General features: G+C 42.7%; 1 long non-coding RNA gene across 1 annotated transcript in view, besides 3 other annotated features; it reads left to right on the top strand.

Annotated features, from left to right (window-relative positions):
* The window catches only part of SNRPF-DT (SNRPF divergent transcript), a 63,495-nt gene that overhangs the window by 8,533 nt on the left and 28,322 nt on the right, over positions 1-26,640 (top strand). Inside the window, exon 2 of the long non-coding RNA NR_135014.1 lies at positions 17,223-17,290. This is a non-coding gene — a long non-coding RNA (SNRPF divergent transcript). The remainder of the gene's footprint in view (positions 1-17,222; positions 17,291-26,640) is intronic.
* Positions 72-216: an enhancer, noted in NCBI's record as "145 bp 12:96243941 sequence used in MPRA reporter constructs". NCBI's record gives its function as "activates a minimal TATA-containing promoter with rs11108303 allelic activity by MPRAs in C283T melanocytes {active_cell/tissue: C283T}" and the evidence as "EXISTENCE:reporter gene assay evidence [ECO:0000049][PMID:36423637]".
* Position 144: a transcriptional cis regulatory region, noted in NCBI's record as "rs11108303 or 12:96243941 MPRA-significant variant associated with a GWAS melanoma risk locus at 12q23.1". NCBI's record gives its function as "allelic transcriptional activity by MPRAs in C283T melanocytes {active_cell/tissue: C283T}" and the evidence as "EXISTENCE:reporter gene assay evidence [ECO:0000049][PMID:36423637]".
* Positions 11,789-11,989: a silencer, noted in NCBI's record as "peak1901 fragment used in MPRA reporter construct". NCBI's record gives its function as "represses an SCP1 promoter by STARR-seq MPRAs in K562 erythroleukemia cells {active_cell/tissue: K562}" and the evidence as "EXISTENCE:reporter gene assay evidence [ECO:0000049][PMID:32103011]".

The raw sequence follows: 26,640 nt of genomic DNA, 5'->3' as shown, positions 1-26,640 counted from the left end.
ATTGCCTACTAAAATAAAAGAAAAAGTCATTTAATTGTCTTGGATCTTATTTTCTTCCTTTATACACTGTAGGGATTGGGCTAGATCAGAGTTTTCAACCTTGATATTATTGACATTTTGGACCAAATAATTCTTTTTTCTTTATTTTTCTTTTTTTCTTTTTTTGAGACCCCGTTTTTTTGAGACGGGGTCTCTCTCTCACCTAGGCTGAAATGCAATGGCTCAATCTTGGCTCACTGCAACCTCCACCTCCCGGGCTCTAGTGATCCCCCCATCTCTGCCTCCCAAGTAGCTGGAACCACAGGTGTGCACCACCATGCCCAGCTAATTGTTTGTATTTTTGGTAGAGACAGGTTTTCGCCATGTTGTCCAGGCTGGTCTTGAACTCCTGAGCTCAAGCAATCTGCCTGCCTCGGCTTCCCAAAGTGCTGGGATTACAGGAGTGACCCACCGCAACCAGCCACAAATAATTCTTATTTTGTGACTTGTCCTGTGCATAATAGGTTGCTTAGCAGCATCCTTGGCCTCTACCCATTAAATGCCAGTAGTCCCTCCCCCACCCAGGTTTGACAACCAAAAATGTCTCCAGGCATTGCCAAATGTCCCCTGGGGAGCACAGTTGCCCCTGGTTGAGGACCACTGGAGATCAATGGCCCCACAGGCCCCTGAACCTGGATCAGTTTGCAGGTAGTGTTGTGGCTTTGCAAACTATTTTCAAAAACAAAGAAAAATAACCAACAAATTGTACATTTATTTTAATAAAGACACTATAGACTAAGACCTCATGTGTCTTTGCTTTTGCTTGGAATGAAGTCACCTTAAAATACGAATACTGGTGGATCATCATGGGTCAGAAGCTCTGACTGGCATTTATTTATGTATCTGATTATTAAAATGGGAAACAAATTTTAAATAAGTAATGTCTTTGAGTTTTGTAAATCATAGATTCAATCTGTGGGGGCGAGTAGATAATAAAAGAAGTCTGTGGATGAAATGGCTGGAAACCACTCAAGTAGATGATCAGTGTTCAATACTGACTTTAAACACTTTTCTGTTTTTTGCCATGGTTCCAGCGGGTGGCAGTGGTGAATTTGGAATAAGAGTTCTGTTTGCCACATAAGCACTTCAAAGTTAATCAGTACAAATAGGACTTCACTGTTCTCAAAACACTAAAGGAAACAAAACAAAACCTCATGGAATTTTCCCCATAGTATCCTGTGCCATACAGTCTCCCCCCACCTCCTTCACCCCTCAAATGTCTCCATTGAATCCAATTTTAAAAAATAAAGCTTATTCTACTTCCTCATCTATTACCCTGTTGCCAGAGGTATCTGACCTCCTTTCCTTCAAAACAAACCGAAGACCTGGACATTTTAGTTGGATATGGGTAACCTTTGTTGGTTACCCATGACTAGCAGCCTAAAACAAACTCCTTCATCTCTTTCCCTTCTGTCCCATGAACCGCAAAGCTGGCCCTTGCACCGCCGGCCATGCTTTTTCTCACAACTCCACGTACTTACACAGGACGTTCTTACCACCTAGAAATCCCTCCCCATTTGCTTTGCCTGAAAAATGCCTCCTCATCTAATCTCCATGGCCCCACTCAAATGGGCACTTCATATCTGAAGCTTTCTCTGACTTCCCTAGGTAACTAATTGTTCTGTCACATGGGCTCTACCCCACCTGTTTTAGCACTAACTACACTCTCTTTTAGAGAAAAAGGTATTTTATTCATTAACCCTTTGTTGCTATTACTAGTCATTTACTAGCACATAATTAGTTCCCTGGCACATAATGGCAAATTTCTGGAATGAATAAATTAATGAATAACTGACTTGAGAGACTTGGACTTTAAAAATTTGCACCAATTCAAACATATATATATATATGCCAAAAAAAAGGGGGGTGGAATCAGGGTGTCCACCCTTCTTACTCAAAAGAATGGAATATACTGAACAGTAGAGCATTCTCCTGCATCAGCCTCCCGAGTAGCTGGGACTACAGGCGCCCGCCACTGCGCCCGGCTAACTTTTTTTGTATTTTTAGTAGAGACGGGGTTTCACCGTGTTCGCCAGGATGGGCTCGATCTCCTGACCTTGTGATCCACCCGCCTCGGCTTCCCAAAGTGCTGGGATTACAGGCATGAGCCACCGCGCCCGGCCCTAGATAGCCTATATATTCTATTGGCTCCATTACTTGTGCTATTAGCCTTAACTTCTTGATTAGGGAACTATCTGCCAGGTTTCTTCATTGCAAAGTTACCTTTTAAAATTGTATTATTAAGAAGTATTTTGTGAAGGTACTTTGAGGCTATGTAGTTATCTCATTCCTCCTCAAACTTTCACCTACTGCATATTAGCATCCACTGTATTTCTGAGCTAAATCAGTTACTTATGCTGGCTGCCAAATGGTGATTTTCTGACTCCATCATTTCTTCTCCATGCATCAGTTGGCATTCCACTGTAAGAAAAGCTTTCTCCTTTTCCCACTTATTTATATCAGTATGGACTCATAGATTCTATTTTATTTAGTGGGTTAATCATGTCATGATTACTTATTTTGATGCTCTTTATTTTAAGGACTCATGAATTTCTATTTTATTACATGAATTTATAATCTGTTACTATTGTTATTTCTCTGCCTTAATTGTCACATATTTGGACAGGGGGATCCCCCATTAAGCTGTCTTCTGTGTTCTTTTGACATGTCATCCTCATTCTTTGAGCATTTCCTTATTTTCTGTCCCAATAAGATGTTCCCTGTCCCAAACCTGGAATCAGTCAATTCTCCAAAAAACACTGCTTCGTTTTAGTGGAGAATGGCATTTAGGAAACTAAAGATTGGTCTAGACAATAGGCACGCTCCTTGGTAGGGGGGTGTTGGTGCTTCCAGTCCCTCTCACTGGACAAAACTAGAGAACGTATGCATGTGTATACATACATACATGCATGCATATATGACCATATCCATACTTGTTTCAATATCGCTATTGAAAATTCCAGTTCAACACCACATGGCTTATTTTAGTTTTTTCAGTTTCCATATTTGTAGTCCCTTCCCCAACAGTTAGAAAACTGTCTCCCTTCATCCTCAATTTGTTTACTTATCTGATCAATCCCCTCCATGTAACCAAACTTCCATCACCACTACCATCCCCCCTCCCACCCAACCCAGCAAGACAGCCTTGCCTGACTCTAACAGCATGAACTGGGCCACCACTCCAGAGCGCGCTGACCTCCCCATTCCCACTTTGCTCAGCCCCACCTCATACTTTTAGACAGGATTATTCAGAAATGAAGGATAGACAGAAGCAAACTATAAATCCCCTTTAAACTGATGTTTATAATAAAAACTAATACAAAAGAAAAAATATAGAGGGAAAGAATTTTAATTTTTTCTGGACACCCTCCAATTGTTTCAGTATACCAGTATTCCAAGTAAATAAAAAAAAAATTTAGTCAAGCTTTATTATGTGATACTATTTTAATGTGAAAATTGTGAGGAAGGGCTATTCTTCTTATTCTTTTCCAGTTTCCTTTTCTCTTTCCATTTCTTTTTTTTTTTTTTTTTTTGAGACAGAGTCTTGCTCTGTTGCCCAGGCTGGACTGCAATGGTGCGATTTCAGCTCACTGCAAACTTTGCCTCCTGGGTTCAAGAGATTCTCCTGCCTCAGCCTCCCAGGTAGCTGGGATTACAGTCATGCATCACCACACCTGGCTAATTTTTGTATTTTTAGTTGAGACAGGGTTTCAACATGTTGGCTAGGCTGGTCTCGAACTCCTGACCTCAGATGATCCGCCTGCCTTGGCTTCCAAAGTGCTAGGATTACAAGCATGAGCCACCATGCCTAGCCTTCCATTTCTATTCTATCTCTTCTATTTCATGGGTGGCCGAAATAAGAGCAAAGGAATTATATCACAAATTGATCTAATAAAATACACAATGCTAGAAAAATCATTTGAGAAGTGTGTGACTGAAGGTAAAAAAAAATCTCTTATAAAAAATCATATAGTCAATATTTTAAGAGAAGTTCATAAATATGGTGATTAACTCTTAGGAAAGAACCTATTATTTATCAGTATATTAAAGTCTTACTGAAGTAAAGTAAACAGGATAGACTGGTAGATTTTAAGGCAAATTAAAGCAAAAAGATTAAGGATGAGAGAGGGAGCTGTTATTTATGGAAGGAGACTTAGTTAGGATTGAGGAAAGGAACTATAATTTATAGAGGGTAATTAGGTTGGGATTATGCTCAGCTATGATTAACAAAGACCCAAATTAAGGATGATTTAAACCAGTTGAATCATACAGTTTGGATATATGTCCCCCTAAATCTTATGCTGAAATGTAATCCCCAAAGTTGGAGATGGGGCTTAGTGAGAGGTGTTTGGGTCACGAGGGCAGATCCTTTATGGCTTGATGCTGTCCTCATGATATTGAGTGAGTTCCTGCGAGATCTGGTTGTTTAAAAGTGTGTGGCACCTCCAGGTCCTCTCTCTCTTGCTCCCCTTCCTGCCATGTGAGACGCCGCCATTCCCTCTTTGCCTTTTGCCATGGTTGGAAGCTTCCTGAGGCCTCCCCAGAAGCTGATGCCGGCGCTATGCTTTTTGTACAGCCTGCAGAACTGTGAGCCAATTAAACATCTTTTCTTATAAATTACCCAGCCTCAGATATATCTCTGTAGTAACACAAGAAGTGCCTAACAAAAAGAAAGTTTATTGACCTCTTTTGTAAAGGTGAATAGTTCAATACTGGGGTGACGCTTTGCTGCTTGAAATCTTCAGAGACCCTGACTGCCCCTAGCTTTTGATCTGCCCTCTTAGGCTATGACCCTCATCTTCATCATCCCAGATGGAGCTCTAACTACCACATACGTAGTCGAAGGGTTAAATGGAGGAAGGAGGGAAAAAAGGGCAAGCACCAGCTATCTTTAAAGGAAATTTTCTGGAAGTGGCTGCACAATTCTTTTCCTCATAGCATGTTGACCAGAACCTGGTCACACGGCCACACTGGCTGCAAGGGAGGATGGAAAAGGATTCTTACAGTCCCAGTGGCCCTATGCCCTGCTGAGAATCAGGGGTTCTAACACCAGTAGGCTGTTTGGGGTAGGCAACCATTGATCTCTATTGCCAGAGGGTCTACTGGATGTTGTCTATTTCCTTATCATAAAATGGGTTAAATTGGCCTGGTGCATGGCACATGCCTGTAATCCCAACACTTTGGGAGGCTGAGGCAGGCAGATGACTTGAGGTCACGAGTTTGAGACCAGCCTGGACAACATGGTGAAACCCCATCTCTACAAAAATACAAAAATTAGCCAGGTGTGGTGGCACATGCCTGTAATCCCAGCTCCTTGGGAGGCTGAGGAAGAAGAACTGCTTGAACCCGGGAGGCAGAGGTTGTGAGCCGAGATCACGCCACTGTACTCCAGCCTGGGTGACAGAGTGAGTCACATAGAGTGAGACTCTATCTCAAAAATAAATAAATAAATAAATAATTTTTAAAATGGGTTAAATATTATTAACAGGGTTAAACAAGGTAACAACAGCTAATACTTATACTTCTTATATTCCAGGGATTTCAGGTGAAAAACCTGTTTATAATTATCTTATACTTTTTAACATAATTTTTTTTGCTCTTAACACTGCATTTTTCAAAAATACAATTATCATGTAAATTCAGAGAAGACTATGCTTGCTTTTGTTTAGAGTTTTACTAACAGTTTTCACTATTTCAGAAAAGTATTGACAATGCTGCAAGCTGCACTTGAATCACCAAGATAACATCCATGGCTCTGTTTACAGGTTCAAACAGTTGACTACTTTGTGAGGTTTTCTAGTGTAAAAGTACTTGAGCGTTTGCATATTTTTATGATCAATTATTTTACATTTATCTCTGCTTGATGCTACAGTTTAGGCATTATATTTATTTTAAAATTACATGTGTACGTAGGTTGTATTCTGTATGAATTTCACTTGATAGTACAGAACAGAACTGCTGCTAGCATATAAGGTGCCTCTGTACAAATAAGAGGCCCCCTCTGAGTGGAGGAATTAGGAAAAGGCACCCCTTCTTTGGGGTTGATGTAGCCCCCTGTCAGGGTGCATGACTAGGCAACAAAGTGCACCTAGAATTTGCCCCCCATCTACCACCTGTGTAACTGTAGATGGCAAGCCCCTTTAAAGGCAGCATGAAAAAAAATACTTTTTTTTGAGACAGAGTCTTGCTTTGTTGCCCAGGCTGGAGTGCAATGGCATGATCTTGGCTCACTGCAACCTCCGCCTCCCCAGTTCAAGCAATTCTCCTGCCTCAGTCTCCCTAGTAGCTGGGACTACAGGTGTATGCTACCACGCCTGGCTAATTTTTGTATTGAAAAAATACTTCTTGTAGAAGATAGGCATTGGGTCTGATGGGGCTGATGATTACTAATTTAAAAAGATAGTCAAGGATTGAACCTGGAAATACTTCCATGTTTAGAGGTGTAGTAAGTGGACCCAACAGTTAGGAAGAAACCAAGAGAGTAGTGTACTAGAAACCAAGTGAAGACAGTACTGTAAGAAGAGAAAGTGATCCATTGCATCAAAGGCTGCTGTTAACCAGTGCTTTGGGAGGCCAAGGTGGGCGGATCACTTGAGGTCAGGATTTCAAGACCAGCCTGGGAAACATGGCGAAACCATCTCTACTAAAAATACAAAAATTAGCTGGGCGTGGTGGCACACGCCTGTAATCCTAGCTACTTGGGAGGCTGAGGTGCGAGAATTGCCTGGGAAGCGGAGGTTGCAGTGAGCCAAGACCATGCCACTGCACTCCAGCCTGGGAGACAGAACGAGACCCTGACTCAAAAAAAAAAAAAAAATCAAGACAGATGAAAACTCATTCTGTCCACTAGAGTAGGCCATGTGGGGGTCACTGATGATCTTTACAAGAGCACCCAGTGAGGTAGTAGGATTGAAAGCTTGATTGACATGGATTTAGGTGGAAACATAGGGAGAAGTGAAGAAGGTAAGTATAGACAACTCTGGCGCTAGAGACTAAGGAGCTGAGGGTCTGTGCAAGGGAGTGTTGATACATAAGTCAATGAATAACAAAAATAATATTAGGTAGTGATTTACACTTTGAAGAAAAATATGTAAAATAGCACCCAAGGGACTGGGGCTCTAGTATTCATTCAGTCATTAGACTCTTTGAGTCCTTGAACAGGTCACCTTTACCTCATTGGGTCTCAGTTTCCTCAACTGAAAAAAATACAAAGGTTGAACTTGGTGACTTCTTTTATCTTTAGCATCTGTTATTCTATATATTGAAAAATAGCTTCCAAACAAACGAGTTCACGCTTTACCATCTTGTACAAGGTATTTAGCCTCCCTATATCTTCATTTCTTCTAGTATTTTATTTTATTTTACACTTGATCTTAGCCAAAAAGCCAAGAAGCAATATTTTATTTTATTTTGAGACAGAGCCTCACTCTGTCACCCAGGCTGGATTGCAGTGCACTATCACGGCTCACTCCAGCCTCAAACTCCCAGGCTCAGGTGATCCTTCTACCTCAGCGTTCCAAGTAACTGAAACTACAGGCACAGCCACCACACCCAGCTAATTTTTGTATTTTTTGTAGAGACGGAGTTTTGCCATGTTGGCCAGGTTGGTCCCGGACTACTAGGCTCACGTGATCTGCTTGCCTCAGAGTCCCAAAGTGCTGGGATTGCAGGCACAAGTCACCGCATCTGGCCAGTTTCTTCTATTTTAAAACTGTGGATCAGCTCTCCCGTCTCCCTCTCCCTCTCCCGTCTCCCTCTCCCTCTCCCGTCTCCCTCTCCCTCTCCCGTCTCCCTCTCCCTCTCCCGTCTCCCTCTCCCTCTCCCGTCTCCCTCTCCCTCTCCCGTCTCCCTCTCCCTCTCCCGTCTCCCTCTCCCTCTCCCGTCTCCCTCTCCCTTTCCCGTCTCCCTCTCCCTCTCATGCCGAGCCAAAGCTGGACGGTACTGCTGCCATCTCGGCTCACTGCAACCTCCCTGCCTGATTCTCCTGCCTCAGCCTGCCGAGTGCCTGCGATTGCAGGCGCGCGCCGCCACGCCTGACTGGTTTTCGTTTTTTTTTGGTGGAGATGGGGTTTCGCTGTGTTGGCCGGGCTGGTCTCCAGCTCCTAACCGCGAGTGATCCGCCAGCCTCGGCCTCCCGAGGTGCCGGGATTGCAGATGGAGTCTCGTTCACTCAGTGCTCAATGGTGCCCAGGCTGGAGTGCAGTGGCGTGATCTCGGCTCGCTACAACCACCTCCCAGCCGCCTGCCTTGGCCTCCCAAAGAGCCGAGATTGCAGCCTCTGCCCGGCCGCCACCCCGTCTGGGAAGTGAGGAGCGTCTCTGCTTGGCCACCCATCGTCTGGGATATGAGGAGCCCCTCTGCCTGGCTGCCCAGTGTGGAAAGTGAGGAGCGTCTCTGCCCGGCCGCCATCCCATCTAGGAAGCGAGAAGCGCCTCTTCCCCGCCGCCATCCCATCTAGGAAGTGAGGAGCGTCTCTGCCCGGCCGCCCATCGTCTGAGATGTGGGGAGCACCTCTGCCCCACCGCCCTGTCTGGGATGTGAGGAGCGCCTCTGCTGGGCCGCAACCCTGTCTGGGAGGTGAGGAGTGTCTCTGCCCGGCCGCTCCGTCTGAGAAGTGAGGAAACCCTCTGCCTGGCAACCGCCCCGTCTGAGAAGTGAGGAGCCCCTCCGTCTGGCAACCACCCCGTCTGGGAAGTGAGGAGCGTCTCCGCCCGGCAGCCACCCCGTCCGGGAGGGAGGTGGGGGGGGTCAGCCCCCCGCCCGGCCAGCCGCCCCGTCCGGGAGGTGAGGGGCTCCTCTGCCCGGCCGCCCCTACTGGGAAGTGAGGAGCCCCTCTGCCCGGCCAGCCGCCCCGTCCGGGAGGGAGGCGGGGGGGGGGGGGTCGGCCAGCCGCCCCGGCCGGGAGGTGAGGGGCTCCTCTGCCCGGCCGCCCCTACTGGGAAGTGAGGAGCCCCTCTGCCCGGCCAGTCGCCCCGTCCAGGAGGGAGGTGGGGGGGTCAACCCCCCGCCCGGCCAGCCGCCCAGTCCGGGAGGGAGGTGGGGGGTCAGCCCCCCGCCTGGCCAGCCGCCCCGTCCGGGAGGTGAGGGGCGCCTCTGCCCGGCCGCCCCTACTGGGAAGTGAGGAGCCCCTCTGCCCGGCCAGCCGCCCCGCCCAGGAGGGAGGTCGGGGGGTCAGCCCCCCGCCTGGCCAGCCGCCCCATCCGGGAGGGAGGTGGGGGGGTCAGCCCCCCGCCCGGCCAGCCGCCCCGTCCGGGAGGGGGGGGGGGGTCAGCCCCCTGCCCGGCCAGCCGCCCCGTCCGGGAGGGAGGTGGGGGGGGTCAGCCCCCCGCCCGGCCAGCCGCCCCGTCCGGGAGGGAGGTGGGGGGATCAGCCCCCTGCCTGGCCAGCCGCCCCGTCCGGGAGGTGAGGGGCGCCTCTGCCCGGCCGCCCCTACTGGGAAGTGAGGACCCCTCTGCCCGGCCAGCCGCCCCGTCCGGGAGGGAGGTGGGGGGGGTCAGCCCCCCGCCCGGCCAGCCGCCCCGTCCGGGAGGGAGGTGGGGGGATCAGCCCCCTGCCTGGCCAGCCGCCCCGTCCGGGAGGTGAGGGGCGCCTCGGCCCGGCCGCCCCTACTGGGAAGTGAGGACCCCTCTGCCCGGCCAGCCGCCCCGTCCGGGAGGGAGGTGGGGGGAACAGCCCCCCGCCCGGCCAGCCGCCCTATCCAGGAGGTGAGGGGCGCCTCTGCCCGGCCGCCCCTACTGGGAAGTGAGGAGCCCCTCTGCCTGGCCAGCCGCCCCGTCCGGGAGGGCGGTGGGGGGGTCAGCCCCCCTCCCGGCCAGCCGCCCCATCTGGGAGGTGAGGGGCACTTCTGCCGGGCCGCCCCTACTGGGAAGTGAGGAGCCCCTCTGCCCGGCCACGACCCCGTCTGGGAGGTGTGCCCAGCGGCTCATTGGGGATGGGCCATGATGACAATGGCGGTTTTGTGGAATAGAAAGGCGGGAAGGGTGGGGAAAAAATTGAGAAATCGGATGGTTGCGGGGTCTGTGTGGATAGAAGTAGACATGGGAGACTTTTCATTTTGTTCTGTACTAAGAAAAATTCTTCTGCCTTGGGATCCTGTTGATCTGTGACCTTATCCCCAACCCTGTGCTCTCTGAAACATGTGCTGTGTCCACTCAGGGTTAAATGGATTAAGGGCGGTGCAAGATGTGCTTTGTTAAACAGATGCTTGAAGGCAGCATGCTCGTTAAGAGTCATCACCACTCCCTAATCTTAAGTACCCAGGGACACAAACACTGCGGAAGGCCGCAGGGTCCTCTGCCTAGGAAAACCAGAGACCTTTGTTCACTTGTTTATCTGCTGACCTTCCCTCCACTATTGTCCTATGACCCTGCCAAATCCCCCTCTGCGAGAAACACCCAAGAATGATCAATAAAAATAAAAAATAAAAAATAAAAAAAAAAAAAAAAAAAAAAAAAAAACTGTGGACATGTATAAAGACGTTCATGGTCAATACTAGTGAAGTGGCTAAATAATACTTCAATTGGCAACAATATTTTCATATGATAAAATTTAATACAGGCTGGGCACCATGGCTCACACCTGTAATCCCAGCACTTTGGGAGGCTGAGGTGAGTGGATCACCTGTGGCCAGGAGTTCAAGACTAGCCTGGCCAACATGATGAAACCCTGTCTCTACTAAAAGTACAAAAAAATTAGCTGGGCATGGTGGTGGGCACCTGTAATCCCAGCTACTCAGGAGGCTGAGGCAGGAGAATCTCTTGAACCTGAGAGGCAGAGGTTGCAGTGAGCCTAGATCACACAATTTTACTCCAGCCTGGGCAACAAGAGCGAAACTCCACCTCAAAAAAAAAAAAAAAAAGTAATGCCATAATTTAAAATAATATTTACAAAGATTCTAATGACATGGGAAAATATAAGACATCAAAATATGTAAATAAATATTAATAATGTCAAAATATGGACATTTGAATATATGTGTCTAGAAAAACAGACTAAAAATAAACACCAAAATGTTATTAGTTGTTATGTTTAGGTTATGGGATTTGGGATGGTTAAATTTTCTTTATAATTTCCCGGGTTTTTCATTTTAAAAAATTTTGCCATTAGAAAGTGTGCCCTTGATAATAGAGAGATTATTTTTTAACTCAGTTAGCGTTAGGTCTTTAACATTTATGAATGCTTATGCCCATAACTATTCGTTCACAATTATGTTCCATACGATGGATTTACAGAATATGGTCACCATGACCCTGAAGTCACTTGCATACACACTAATTTAAACATGTAAATGTTCATTCAAGAATATATTCATCTGGCCAGGTGCAGTGGCTCACACCTGTAATCCCAACACTTTGGGAGGCCGAGGCAGGCGGATAACGAGGTCAGGAGTTTGAGACCAGCCTGGCCAACATGGTGAAACCCCATCTCTACTAAAAATACAAAAATTAGCTGGGCATGGTGATGCATGCCTATAATCCCAGCTACTGGGGAGGCTGAGGCAGGAGAATGGCTTGAACCCAGGAGGCAGAGTTTGCAGTGAGCCATGATCGTGCCACTGCACTCCAGCCTGGGTGATAGAGCAAGACTCCATCTCAAAAAAAAAAAAAAAAAAAAAAAAAGAATATATTTATCTGAGGAGATTAGCCAGTGAATCTTTCCTTTAAGAGGTGGTGGAAATGTATTCATTTTTAAAGTTAGCATTGGTAATATTAGAATAATAATAATCTAAACAATATCTTGTGCTATAGTCAGGTGTGAGCAGGGAAGGAGAGGGCTCCCCCACTACTCACACACCAGGTGTGTCGGGAGGCCATCCTGTGAGGTCAGGCGGTTGTTAACTGTTTCTCTACAGTAATAATTGGTCACAGCTGGCACTAGGGAAAGACAGTCTCGTACCAGATAGAAAACAGCTGAAACTGGTGATCAGCAGCTTCCGGATCAGATCTCAGCGTTGGATGAGCAGGAGAAGCAACGCAAGACCTCGGAAGCCTGCCAAGGTATAAAACCCCAAGTCAAAAGTTCAAACCGTGCTGGTCTTTCAAATCGCCCGCTTGGCCCTCTTTCAAGTGTACTTTCCTTCCTTTCCTTCCTGCTCTAAAGCTTTTGAATAAACTTTCACGCCTGCTCTAAAACTTGTCTTGGTCTCTCCTTCTGCCCCTCAGTCAAATTGTTTCTTCTGAGGAGGCAAGAATTGAGGTTGCTGCAGACCCAGATGGATATGGATTCTCCACCGCTAACAGGGCTATATACACAATTAATATTAATCATTCTGTTATAATCAAAATCATCCAGCAGAATTTCAGAATCTTGCAAAAGTTGACCATAATGTATCATATGGTCTTTTCCTCAAACCTCCTCCCCCCTCACCGCCGCCCTTTGTTTTAAGACAGTGTCCCACTCTGTCGCACAGGCTAGAGAGCAGGGGTGTGATCACAGCTTACTGCAGCCTCAAGCTCCCGGGCGCAAGTGATCCTCCCATCTCAGTCTCCCAAGTAGCTGGAACTACACCCATCACACACATTTTAAAATGTTTTATTAAGACAGGGTCTCATTACATTGCCTAGGCTGGTCTTGAACTCCTTGGCTTAAGGAATCCTCTTGCCTCAACCTCCCAAAGTGCTGGGATTACAAGCCTGAGCCACTGAACCTCTCCCTCTCTCCCTCTCTCCTCCCTCATCTCTCTCTCCCTCTCTCCCTCTCTCCTCCCTCTCACATCTCTCCCTTTCTCCTCCCTCCCTCTCTCCTCCCTCCCTCTCTCCATCTCTCTTCCCTCCCTCTCTCATCCCTCTCTCTCTCCTCCCTCTCTCCACCTTCTCTCCTCCCTCTCCGCCCTCTCTCCCTCTCCGCCCTCTCTCCCTCTCCTCCCTCTCTCCATCTTTCCCTCTCTCGTTTCTCTCTCCTGCTCTCATCCCTCTCTCCCTCTTTCTCTCTCTCCTCCCTCTCTCCACCCTCTCTCCTCCCTCTCTCCTCCCTCTCTCCCTCTCTCCCTCCTCCCTCTCTCCCTCTCCGTTTCTTCCTCTTTCCCTCTCTCCTTGTCTCTCTCCTCCCTCTCTCCCTCTCTCTCTCCTGCATCTATCCCTCTTTCCCTCTCTCCTCCCTCTCTCCCTCCCTCATCCCTCTCTCCCTCCCTCACCCTTCTCTCCCTCTTTCTCTCTCTCCTCCCTCTCTCCACCCTCCCCCTCTCTCTCCTCCCTCTCTCCCCGTCTCCTCCCTCTCTCCCTCTTTCCCTCTCTCCTCCCTCTCTCCCTCTTTCCCTCTCTCCTCCCTCTCTCCCTCTTTCCCTCTCTCCTCCCTCTCCTCTCCATCTCCTCCCTCTCTGCTCTCTCTCTTTCATTCTCAGGTTGCACACACTTACACTCCAAAGACTTATCTTTTAAGCACACTTCACCAGTAAACAAGGAAGCTGGCATTAACTCAAGCCAACACATTCCCTGCTTTCTGGACATTATAACATCTTGAGCCACAGTCCCTTCTGCATCTGAGTAAGTTTCCAGTATTTACCCACATTTCTGGCTGAGTTAACTCTCTCCTGCTGGGCAAGAAGATGAAAGTGAGATGAGATGGGGAGAGGAAATGTATAGAATGTGGATTTTAAACCAAGTATCTTCACCTATCCAAATAGGAACAGGACAGATATTTAGCCTTCCCTGAGCAGACGGGATGAAATAGGTAGTGAAGATCCTCTTTTTATTTGGACATAACGTTTGAAGTAGTTTCAGAGTGAAGAATTCAAGATTGTTTCCCTACTGCTGTTCAAAGTCTGTTTGCTACTTAATTACATTCACGAATGCTCATTCATAAATCGTTTGAAGAGATTAACTGGAATGATGCCCAAGGCAGCATATGCCTTTTCCAGGCAAGAATAAGGATACACTCAAGTATGTGAATATGGACAATAGGCAAGCCAGCATAATGACACACTTGTTTCATGAGTCATTTTAATTAAATAATACATGAGCAAATACTGAGTAAGGCCTTACTCCATGACAAATAATAGGAATTTGTATGAGATCAAAGAAGATCATGTTTTCATAGATAATTTGATATATTTGTGGTCCATTTGTGGGGAAAAGAGGATATTCTGTTCTTAATCATTTCATTCTGGATTATAATAAATCTGCATTCATATAAACTTGACTAATTTGGACTTTATGGGAATTCCATTAGAGCTGAATTTATCATTGTTCTCTGAAAAGAAAATCTTGCTAAGAAAGTTACTTGTGTAAACAAGAATGCACTGCACATGTATCCCAGAACTTAAAGTAAAAAATTTAAAAATCCCAGAAAAATAGAATGCAGAAGAAATCATTAGGAATTTGCAAAGAATATTTTCTGACTTTTAAAAGGCATCCTTGATATCATCAAAATGTATAGTTGCAATAGAAACAAAAGCCTGCGAGTTCTAGTTATATCACCTGATACTCATCATTGCCACTCTTTACTCTTCTTCTCACTTAGCAATATATCATGAACATTTTCACATGTCAATATATATTATTTTACAACAAGATTTTTAATAGCTGCATGATATTGCATCTCATGTTCTACCATCATTTATTTAACCCATTGTTGGACGCTCAACCTGGTTATGACTTTTTTGTAATTGTAATGGCGCCGTGAACATCCTTATCAGTATTTATTTGTGTGTACCTCTTTGATTGTGTTCTTAGGGTAAAGTCTTAAAAATAAGATTGTTTGATCATAGGATATGTTTAATTAAGGCTTTTAAGGTATTCCCAAATTAAAGGGCTGGAAGTCAGAGGGCAAGGGATTCCACTGATAGAGTCCATAGATTAACCTCCTGTGACAGAGCAAGGCAGAGAAGGACAAAGAATGCATCTCGAGAGGCTATCACAAGTCATTCAGCATCCTCCTTCCCCAAACTAGAGCCTCCTTGCTGCATTTTTTCTGTAAAGCTTATTTCCTATTCATGTATCCTATAATATATTTATTTATTATAATAATTATTATTTTTTGAGACGGAGTCTCTCTGTCACCCAGGCTGGAGTGCAGTGGCACCATCTCGCCTCACTGCAACCTCCACCTCCAGGGTTCAAGCAATTCTCCTGCCTCAGCCTCTGGAGTAGCTGGGATTACAGGTGTGCACCACCACACCTGGCTAATATTTTTTGTATTTTTAGTACAGATGGGGTTTCACCATGTTGACCAGGCCATTCTCAAATTCCTGACCTCAGGTGATCCACCCACCTTGGACTTCCAAAGTGCTGGGATTACAGGCATGAGCCACAGCACCTGGCCAATTTATTATTTATTTTAATTATTATCTGTTTGCCTTCACTAAACTGTTAGGTCTACCAGGTCAGGAATTGGCTTTTTAATTCATTGCTGAATATCCAGTGCCTAAGCAAATGCCATGTACATCATAAACAATAATTCTGTTTTTAATGAATAAGTAAAACAAAGGGATTGGTAGTCCTGCTAGATTATGTACCAGTCAGATCACCTTTGAAGTATTCCGGTCAGGCCAGGCCCTACCTGGAGAGGAATATTGACACACTGACAAGTGGTCTTTAAGTGTGTCCTGGGCAGAATGATTGAAGAAACTCTAATTGTTTGGTTTGGAAAAGAGAAGGGAGTTAGGGATAGGAAAGCTTGTCTATCTTAAAATATTCAACTCTCTTAAAACATTAAAAAGCCTTTCATATGAAAAATATTTGGGCTTATAACCTGTGCCAAAGGATGGAAATTGTTGACTTTTGCTCAGCCTAAGAAAGAGCTTGTTCGCATTTAGAGGTGCATAAGAATTGAATAGGCTTCCTCTCTCTCTCTCTATATATATATACACACACATACATATGTATGTATATATGTATATGTGTGTGTGTGTGTGTGTGTGTGTGTGTGTGTGTGTATATATATATATATATATATATATATATTCCTCCATTTCTCTTCCTTGATATGTATGAAAGAATTGGCTTTTTAATTCACTGCTGGATATCCAGTGCCTAAACAAATGCCATGTACATCATATGCAATAATTCTATTTTTAATGAATAAGTAAAAAAAGGGATTGGTAATCCTACTAGATTGTGTACCAGTCAGATTACCTTTGAAGTATTTTGGTCAGGCCAGGTCCTACTTAGAGAGGAATATATCCTTGATAAATATGAACAGTATATATATAGAGGAATATATATATATATTCCCTTGACCATTTTAAGGAGAAAACACTTATTGGGATGTAGAGGTGATGCAAGTGTCTGATGGGTAAAAAGATTCTGAAGGTTTCTTTCAATCTGGAGGTCTTATGATTCAGTAAATATATTAACATGGTTTTTATGGTTTTTATTTTGATAATTTTCCTACTGGTTCATCACCAGAGAAGGGGCCAACATAGGGACAAAGAAGAATATCGTGATCTAATATAAAATAATACACATTTTGAGGGTAGCCAAAAGTTTTGCTTACCAGAAATGGTATCTTCCATTCATTTCCTAGAAAGCTAGAAAATTTACCATTCAAAATTAATTGCTTTAGGTTGAAATTGACAGTAAACCTTCTATTTATTCAGGGCAATGCTCAATAGAAAAAAATATAAATATAGGGTAACATCAAGTAAGAAAACAATCTAATTTTAGAAAAAAAAACTTAGAGAAACTATCCTAAATCAATATAGCTTAATATTATTGAGTTCATGGAACATAAATAAAATAAATGTTAAGGAATATATTAATAACCTGGTATGATCAGTAAGCTCCTTCCTTTCTCCCATCTTTTATCTTACTGTTTCTTCTTTCTATTTCTATCGCTTCTCTCCTCTTTCTTTTCCATTCTTCAGTAAGTACCCATTTATCACTGGCTACTATAAGCTCTGGGAATACAATGATTAACAAATAGAGACATGGTTCCTTTATACTTGGACCTAGCAGGAGCCAGTTAACAAAAGGAAGAAAAAAAGACTTTCAAGACCAAGAAAGGAAGGGGGAGTAGAAAAGCAATGAACAGAAGGAAAATGGGCAACATCGTTTGCTTATTTTTTTTCTACCTTCATCCCACTCCATTCCTTGTATAGTTTTTCTTGCTGGGTGCCATCTTCTTTCAACTTCTGATAAAACCCACTGTAAGGCAATACTCATCCAAGTGTTCTTCTGATTGGATAGCAAGTTCATTTATTTAATTATTTTCAATAAATTATTTTTAAATATGATCTTTTTCCCCAGGAAAAGAGGAAGACAGTAACTTGACAGTGGAGAAACCTGGAAGCCATTGCCTTAACCGAGTCATGAAGGTTAGTGTTATCGGTGATGTCCTCAGGGTATCATGTCATCTGCCAGATTTCTATTCTTTCCCTGGGCAGTTAATGATGAGCTAACTATCTTAGAAGTCAAAGGAAATTTTTGTTTATGAAGAGACTTTGAGAAGTCTTGGGGCTCTCTTGAGTGCTACTCGCTTTCCCCTGAAATCCATTCCTATCCCATCCCTGCCCTCTGCTGGGTCTGCTCTCCGTCACTTCGACCTTATTTAGGGTTTGGCTTACTGGTTGGGGCCACTTCCATCACCACCATGTTTAACACAAGTTGCTTGATTGCTTTCATTTAAATTATGGAGTATTTCAAACTGCACAAAAATGCCAAAAATAGTATGACAATGTAAAACATACTCCATCCCTGATTTAAAACGCTGTAACATTTTGCCGTATTTGCTTTGCCCCCTTACCCTCAACTTTTAAAAAAGATATAGAAGTCCCACATCTACATCCCATTTCTCACCTGTCTCTTTGAGGACTACAGGCTATATACCTGGAGTTGAAATTGACTATACCCATCTTCAACTTTTCTAGATATTGCTGAATTGTTCTTTAAAGTTAGTTTATATTAATTGGGGTTCTCCAGAGAAACAGAATCAAGAGGATAGAGATATAGAGATATGGGTATGGATATGTATATAGATGTAAATCAGATATAGATTTATTTTATAGAATTGGCTAACATGATTGTGGGCATGGTGGGGTGGGCCAGCAGGCTGGAGATTCAGGTAAGAGTTGTTGTTGTAGTCTTGAGTTTGAAACCTGCAGGGCGGTCCAGCAAATGGGAAACTCAGGCAGAGCTTTGATGTTGGAGTCTTGAGGCAAAATTATTCTTTATTGAGTCTTTTCTCCTAAGCCCTTCAACTGATTGGAAGAGGCCCACCCACATTATGGAGGGTAATTGACTTTACTCAATATCTATTGATTTAAATGTTAATCACATCTAAAAAAATACATTTGCAATAACATTTAGACTCATATTTGACCAAACAACTGGGCACCTCAGCCTAACGAAGCCGACACATAAAATTACCTATAATGGCTGGCACAATGGCTCATGCCTGTAATCCCAGCATTTTGGGAGGCTGAGGCGAGTGGATCTCTTGAGGTCAGGAGTTTGAGACCAGCCTTGCTGACATGGCAAAAACTCATCTCTACCAAAATTCCAAAAATTAGCCAGGTGTAGTGGTGGGCACCTATAATCCCAGCTTCTCGGGAGGTTGAGGCAGGAGAATCACTTGAACCTGGGAGGCGGGGGTTGCAGTGAACCGATATCATGCCACTGCACTCCAGCCTGGGTGACAGAGCGAGACTCCATCTCAAAAAAAAAATTAACTGTCATAGGGTTGTACCAGTTTATACTCCCACCAGCACCTTTGAGAGTTCTTGTTGTTTGATACCCTTACCAGTCCTTGGTACTTACAAATGTTTTAATTTTGCCAATCTGCTTAGTGTGAATTGGTATCTTGTTGTAATTTGGATTTTTTTATTTTCCTGACTACTAGAAAATTGAGTATTGTTGTGTTTGTTTATCGGTCTGAGTTTTCTCTTCAGTTGATTGCCTATTCAAATATTGCTCATTTTTATATTGGGTTCTTTGAATTTTTCTCATTGACCTATAAGACTTTATAATTCTGGATAAAAATACCTTGTAGATTATTATAACTTTCTTTTCCTAGACTAATGGTTCTCAACATTGGCTGTACATTGGACTCACTTGGGGAGCTTTTAAAACTCTAGGTACCTTGGCTGTACCTTCAACCAATTAAAACCAGAATTTGGGGAGGTGTAACCTAGGATCAGTACTTTTCAAAGCTCCTCAGGTGCTACCTGTGTGCTTCTGAGAAACACTGTCCCAGACTAAGGCAGTAGGGTCTCTGCCATACAGAAAGTTTTAATTTTAATGTTTTTGATGCCTTAATTTTCTTTTATAGTTTCTACTTTTTGTTTTCTTTAAATTTTTCTATACCTGATGTCATTAAAATATTTTACTATATATTCTTCTCCCTATCTCTTTTGTGTATTAAAATTCTTACAGTGTTGTGACAAGGATTTTTCTACACAGATGACTAAAAACTCTTGTTTTGACAGATTGACAACCTCCTTTTTTTTTCAATTTGTCATTGCAGAACTAAGAAAAGGTAATTTTAGTAAAAGTTGTGCAAAATACTTATTTTTATGATGTGGCTATAAGTGAGAAGGAACCGTTGATTTTAATCATTGCATTCCAATTTTAGAGCTTCATTTTCTTTTGTATTAATATCCAAACTTTTGAAGGGTGGTGGTTGGATGATGTGCTCTAATTCAGCTTCAGTAAGAGTTATTAATCATATGTGTGGTTCCAGTGGAAGTATTTTAATTACCATTGACTAAACTGAGGATGAAAAGCTACTGACAAAAACAGAAAGTTAAACTACTTCAGTGAAGTGACTAATTATTGCTGGCTCTAACTGTGGACACAAGTAGGATTATTGTAAAGTAGGGAGATGGTGGATCTGAAGAAGCCTAGGATGAGGTAGCACTAGATAGATCTTATTTGTGGAGCATTGTTGAGTGTGCACTTGCATCTTTCTTTGTGACTAGAACCAGAAAAAGTAAATACATCTGTGATGGTTAATATCGAGTGTCAACTTGATTGGATTGAAGGATGCAAACTATTGTTCCTGGGTGTGTCTGTGAGGGTGTTGCCAAAGGAGATTAACTTTTGAGTTATTGGACTGGGAAAGGCAGACCCACCCTCAATCTGGGTGGGCTCCATCTATCAGCAGCCAGTGCAGCCAGAGAAACATGGAAAGACTAGATCTAGCTTAGTCCTCCAGCCTGCATCTTTCTCCCATGCTGGATGCTTCCTGCCCTCAAACATTGTCTTCAGCTTTGGGACTCGGACTGGCTTCCTTGCTCCTCAGCTTGCAGACGGCCTATTGTGGGACCTCACCTTGTGATTGTGTGAGTTCATACTCCTTAATAAACTCCCCTTTAAATATACATCTATCCTATTAGTTCTGTCCTTTTAGAGAACCCTGACTAATACAATGTCTTTCCTGCCCTCTTCAGTGTTATTAGGAGCACATTGCTTCTTACTGTTTTGTTCTTTCCTTTCCGTTGCAACCCATGTGAGTTTTAAGTTTTCTTATTTTCTGTGAAACAAAATTTGTTTGTCCACATTTCTTTGCTGCTGCTTCTACTTGTCAAGAGTTTTGGTTGTATATAACAGAAACCTAAGTCAAACTAGCTTCAGCCAAAGAAAAAAGACCCTAATTATAGTTTTTGTTTTCATTTATGTATGCATTCAGGGAAGGAAACTATTGTTTAGGATCATTGACTAGTGCCTGAAAGAAATTTGGAAGCCAGTCAAGGAAAACAAAATGTGATTTACAAGAAAAAAGTAAAGTTGTTTGCTTTATGAATGGCATTTTACCAGGTACAGAGTACATTTTGGTTTCCCTAGCAGTACTGAAATACTTTCATTACACAAGAACTCTCAATGGTTTAAAGCTCACAATCTCAGCACTATTGATTTTTTTATTGTGGTAAAAATATACATAATATAAACTTACCATTTTAATCATTTTAAGTATACAGTTCAGTAACATTAATTAGTGACATTATTGTGCAACCATCACCACCATCTGCCTCCAGAACTTTTTAACTATTGACATTTTGGACTGAATAATTCTTCTTGTTGGAGTGGTGGTAGGGTCTGTCCTGTGCACTGTAGGGTGTTTAGCAGCATCCTTGGCCTCTACTCCTTAGACGCCAATAGCATCTCCACCTTCTCCCACCCCCACCCCATCCTGAAAATCAAAAATGTCTCTGGACATTGCCAAATGTCCCCTGGGAGGCGAAGTCATCCACAGTTGAGAACCATTGATTTCAAGGGGAAGAATTTCTATTGTAAGTTGTGCCATTTTAACTTTGAAGAAATAACTTGGGAAAAATGCATTATGGGCATTCATTAATATCAGACACAGAACTATTTGTAACTTAACTATGTACCAGATCAATTGTGCTTTCAGTAGTAAACAAATAGAGCATTTAATTGCCAGAACAGTGATAACATAATTACTTTGATTGGCATTGCTGCAGAAGAGCTAAGACTAATCAGAAATAGTCTAGATTGGAAATGACAGCTTTACATGCATGACTGAATGTGTATGGCTAAAAAATTGCTGAAGTATAAGGTTAAGAAGTTTATTTTAGTGTTTATCGTAATTACTGCATGTTTTATAGAGTGACATCAACTGACTTGCAGAAAAATAGCAATTCTGTGTTACTCTCATACAGAAAGAGTATCTTCTGTTAAGAATTATTATTTTCTTTCATCTTGTTGTACCAGTATATGCTGTAGTTACAGTGAACAAGACAATATAGGCAAATATTTGAGAGATATATTAATTGCATGCAAGGTAACATGAGATTTCCCAAAGCCAGATATGATTCCGCATCCAATTCTATCCAATGCCCAAAATGAAGAATCCTGAGTAGTACTTTAGCTTTCAAGGCACTAGAGAACATTTTTTCATGCATTATAGAATAATGTGATCCATTATTATCTTAAGAAATGAGGCACTTAATGTTATTCATAACGTCATTCACCATGTTCCAAATAGCTGATATTTGTCCTTAGATGTGACAACCAATTAAGATAGAAAAAGTCAGGTTTATTCCATGCAAAATTACTTCCATTATTTATTTCTAGCAATTATAAGGATATATTAGGTATGGCTGCTGCAATAGAGAAGACAAAAATTTTAAAATATTAAACTTGGTTCCATTGATATTTGCATAAGTCCCTTGACCTATCCAGGCCTTAGTTTTGCATTAGTCAAATTCAGGGATTGAGAGATAATCTTAGGGATCTTTCCAACTTTAAGATAGTATTATTTCCTTCCTTCCTTCCTTCCTTCCTTCCTTCCTTCCTTCCGTCCTTCCTTCCTTCCTTCCTTCCTTCCTTCCTCTCTTTCTCTCTTTCTCTTTTTGACAGAGTCTTACTCTGTCACCCAGGCTGGAGTGCAGTGGTGTGATCTCGGCTCACTGCAACCTCCGCCTCCTGGGTTCCAGTGATTCTCGTGCCTCAGCCTCTCTAGTAGCTGGATAACAGGCACCCACCACCATGCCTGGCTAATTTTTGTATTTTTAGTAGAGACGGGGTTTCACCATGTTGACCAGGTTGGTCTCGAACTCCTGACCTCAAGTGATCCACCCATCTTGGCCTCCCAAAGTGCTGGGATTACAGGCGTGAGCCACTGCGCCTGGCCAAGATGGTATTATTTTCTTATAGTTTAAATTAATAACTAGAAAGAATGAAGATTAAAATAAAGAATATCCTTTGATTCGTGACTATGCTTTCAATTATACAAATAGTTTATATAAATAGTCAAAATAAAGGGCAGGCTAGCTTTTCAGTTTAAGTAACAATGAAGTCTTTTTGTAGGTAAAGCTTTCAGCAGTTTCCCACATATGTTGAGGATGTGAGATGGTGCAATATAATTATTTTAAAACCATACACTGTAAAATGAGGTTTTGCAAGCATGCTAATACTTATACCTTGATTTCAAAGTAGAGTAGAGCAAGTAGAAGTGTGATAGATTAAGAAGATGAACAAAAACTGGTTCCGCTTTCTGCCTGATGACCTGATTATAGAAAGCAGGCTAGATTATTATGGATAGTACAGAAGATAAAATATGCTGGTATAAAATATTTTACTTATTATTCATTTATCCATAATTATTTATATTTAATAAAAGTTTTCATCTCCCTATAGGTACATATTCTGTTCTGGAGAAAGTCTAGACTGCTCTTGGATATACAGAAAAGTAATATTCATCATGATGATTGCCATTTATTGAGCACTTCTGTGCCAATGCTTTACATTCATTATCTCATTTAATCCTTACAGCCACTCCGTAAAACAGGTATTATTAGCTAGAATTCCTAAGTAACTTGCTCAAGGTTTCACAAAGAATAAGTCACAGAGCCAGGATCTGTCTGCTTCCAAACTTTACTCCTTAGCTCTTCTAACCCAAACTGTAAGAACTTCAGGAAGAAACAAACAACAAAACAAAACAAACACCTCAATTCTTAATGCTACATATAGTTCATAGCCTCAGTAAGACAGTGAAATTCATAAGTTGCAGCCTGAGTGGGAATTATTTTGATATCTGTGACTGTCAACTTAATTACCCATACACATGACCTTCTGGATAGTATCAGATTCATCTGTTGATCTCTGAATTAAGTTTTGTTGAGTTGTCAAAATTAAGATCATTCTGATGGTAGAAAGTCTGCTAGGCTTTATTTCATTCCCTGTCTATAAGGAGAGGGCCTGCAGAGACTCCTGGAAGTTTACATTAGAGGAAGACTTTCTTAGCCTCTTACAAACCTCACCCCCTCTTTTGAATTGTAGTCCTTCAGAGGCATGCTTAAAGAATAGACATTTTCCCACAGTCCCCTGCTGATTCTGAATGAACAGATTCTCAACCCCCTGCTGACTGGTGAATATATTGCATATCCCCATCTTTACCCTTTACTGACAGCCTTCATAAAAAACTAGCTTAGAAGACAAATGGCACTACAGAACCTCTGACAACTCATTAAGGAAGCATACAGTAGGTTTCTGCCAAAGATTGCTACTATTTTAATGTGACCTAACAGCAGTTTTGTCATGATGGAAGAACGAAAGGATGCTGCCAAGAATGACTGCCTTTGGTCAAATGCAGCATAATGTCCCTTTGCACTGTTTTTAAAGAGAGAAGTAGTGAAGAAGTCAACGAACGTATAGATTATCTATGGCATGTGGCTTTCACACATGCTGCTTCCTCTGCATGGAATACCTTTCTCTCCCTTCCCCACCTGCCCTTCGAGAGCTGGCCCAAATCCTACCTTCAATACGAACTCTTCTCTGTCACCCATGGCATAACTTCTTCCTCTGAGTTCTGACAACACTTGTTTCTACCTGTTGTAACCATTCACATGTTGCTGTATAGTTTGTAGAATTATTTGTCTTGTCTTGACTCAACTAGAAGCTCCTTGAACACAGGAACTATACCTTATTCACCACTGCATTTCTTTTCTTTTCTTTTCTTTTCTTTTTTTTTTGAGACAGAGTCTCGCTCTGTCGCCCAGGCTGGAGTGCAGTGGTGTGATCTCGGCTCACTGCAACCTCCACCTCCCGGGTTCAAGCAATTCTCTGCCTCAGCCTCCCGAGTAGCTGGGATTACAGATGCCCACCACTACACCTGGTTAATTTTTGTATTTTTAATAGAGACGGGTTTCACCATCTTGGCCAGGCTGGCCTTGAATTCCTGACCTTGTGATCCACCTGCCTCAGCCTCCCAAAGTGCTGGGATTACAGGCGTGAGCCACCGCGCCCGTCAGGTGGCATGAGCTTTTAGAAGGTCTGCAAATCTGCAAAAATTGCATGTAACAATTTTATATGTTTTTATATGTTTAAAAAAAATTTTTTTTTGAGACAGGGTCTCACTCTGTCACCCAGGCTGGGGTGCAGTGGTGTGATCTCGGTTCACTGCAACCTCCGCCTCCCGGGTTCAAGCGATTCTCCTGCCTCAGCCTCCTGAGTAGCTGGCATTATAGGCAAGTGCCATTATGCCTGGCTAATTTTTGTATTTTTAATGGAGACGAGGTTTCACCATGTTGGTGAGGCTGGTCTCGAACTCCTGACTTCGTGATCCGCCTGCCTCGGCCTCCCAAAGTGCTGGGATTACAAGGATAAGCCACCACACCCAGCCCACCATTGCATTTTTTGTACCCAGAAGAGCACCTAGCACAGAGTAGGTCCTGGGTTACTGATTGTTAAATGACTTCCCTATTGTCGTATGAGCTTATTCTTGTTGGAGGCCAGATCTACTTAGAGAGAATGGTGATTATGATCATGAAATGACTGATAAGTCCTGCCTCTGCCAGTGACTTGATATGTAGCCTTTCAAGTTTCCCCATTCTGTAAAAGGGGAATTGCAATGATACCTACCTCATGGAAGAAAATTTCTGCAAACGATTTCAGGGTTTTTTTTTCATAATTATAGATATATTCAGGTTTCCTGCTGTTTATTCTTGATCCAGTTATGGTAATTTATATTTCCCTCAAAATCATTCATATCTTGTTGTAATTTATTTTTTAAAGTAATAATAAGTATTCTACTTGCTGATTTCATCTGTACATCTGGTTATAGCCCATTCCTAATTTGTATATATGTGTATTTTCCTGCCTTTCTCTTTTCCTCTTTCTAAAGAGAAATATGTCAAAATATTAATAATAGTTGTCTGTGGGTGATAAGATTATACATTACTTTTACTTTTATGTTTGTCTGTATTTTCCAAATATTCAGAAACCAGTCTATATTATTTATGTGTTCATGAAATGATACTTCATGCTTAATTTTCAAATAAGGAAACTGAAGCCAGGAGCATTTCATAGGTGGATCATGGCCTTATATTAGGACCAGAAAACCTGCCCTGGCCCAGCCACTGTTTAGCCAATAGGGTGAGAGTCAACCAGCATGACTCTTCCAGTTCTCACTGATCTGCAGAAACTGAGCCATTAAACCACTTCACTGTCTCTTGTTCTCATCTTACATAAAGGGTTGTTAGCGTAAGGTAAACTGTCACTGTGAATTGATCGTTGGGGTTTAATCCACCTTACATGGTAAGTTTTATTTTTTGGCATCTCAGCATATAGTTGGTAATAAAAGACAATTATTATAGTGATAAAAGATAACAGTTAATATGTGATGATAACACATATGGCAATGAGTGAAAACATCTGAATGTGTAATTGGAAGGTAGATGCTATATATTTGATATTTTAAAATTTCCTGTGATTCTGTAGTAGGATTGTTAAAGGAAAACTATTTTTTATTTTTATCTTACTTTACTTTTTTTTTTTTGAGACAGAGTTTGTCTCTGTTGCCCAGGCTGGAGTGCAGTGGTACAGTCTCGGCTCACTGCAACCTCCAACACCTGGGCTCAAGCGATACTCCCACCTCAGCCTCGTGAGTAGCTGAGACTACAGACATACACCACCACGGCCAGCTAATTTTTGTATTTTTTTTAGAGATGAGTCTCACTATGTTGTCCAGGCTGGTCTCAAACTCCTGAGTTCAAGTGATCCACCCATCTCGGCCTCCCAAAGTGCTGGGATTATAGCCATGAACCACTGCGCCCAGCACAAAACTTTTTTTTAACACTGTTAGGAAAAGGCTGCTTGTGGTTCCTAACTCATAGCAAATTAGAAAGGAAGACATGCAGTGCAATTTGATTCAACAAATCTTTCTGGATTGCCTACTTTAAATCTTTTACTAGACCATATATAGAAA

This window comes from Homo sapiens, chromosome 12 (assembly GCF_000001405.40).
Source record: "Homo sapiens chromosome 12, GRCh38.p14 Primary Assembly".
Lineage (NCBI taxonomy): Eukaryota > Metazoa > Chordata > Mammalia > Primates > Hominidae > Homo > Homo sapiens.
Note: the sequence above shows the minus strand (reverse complement) of the source record. Positions and strands in the feature narration are given on the sequence as shown.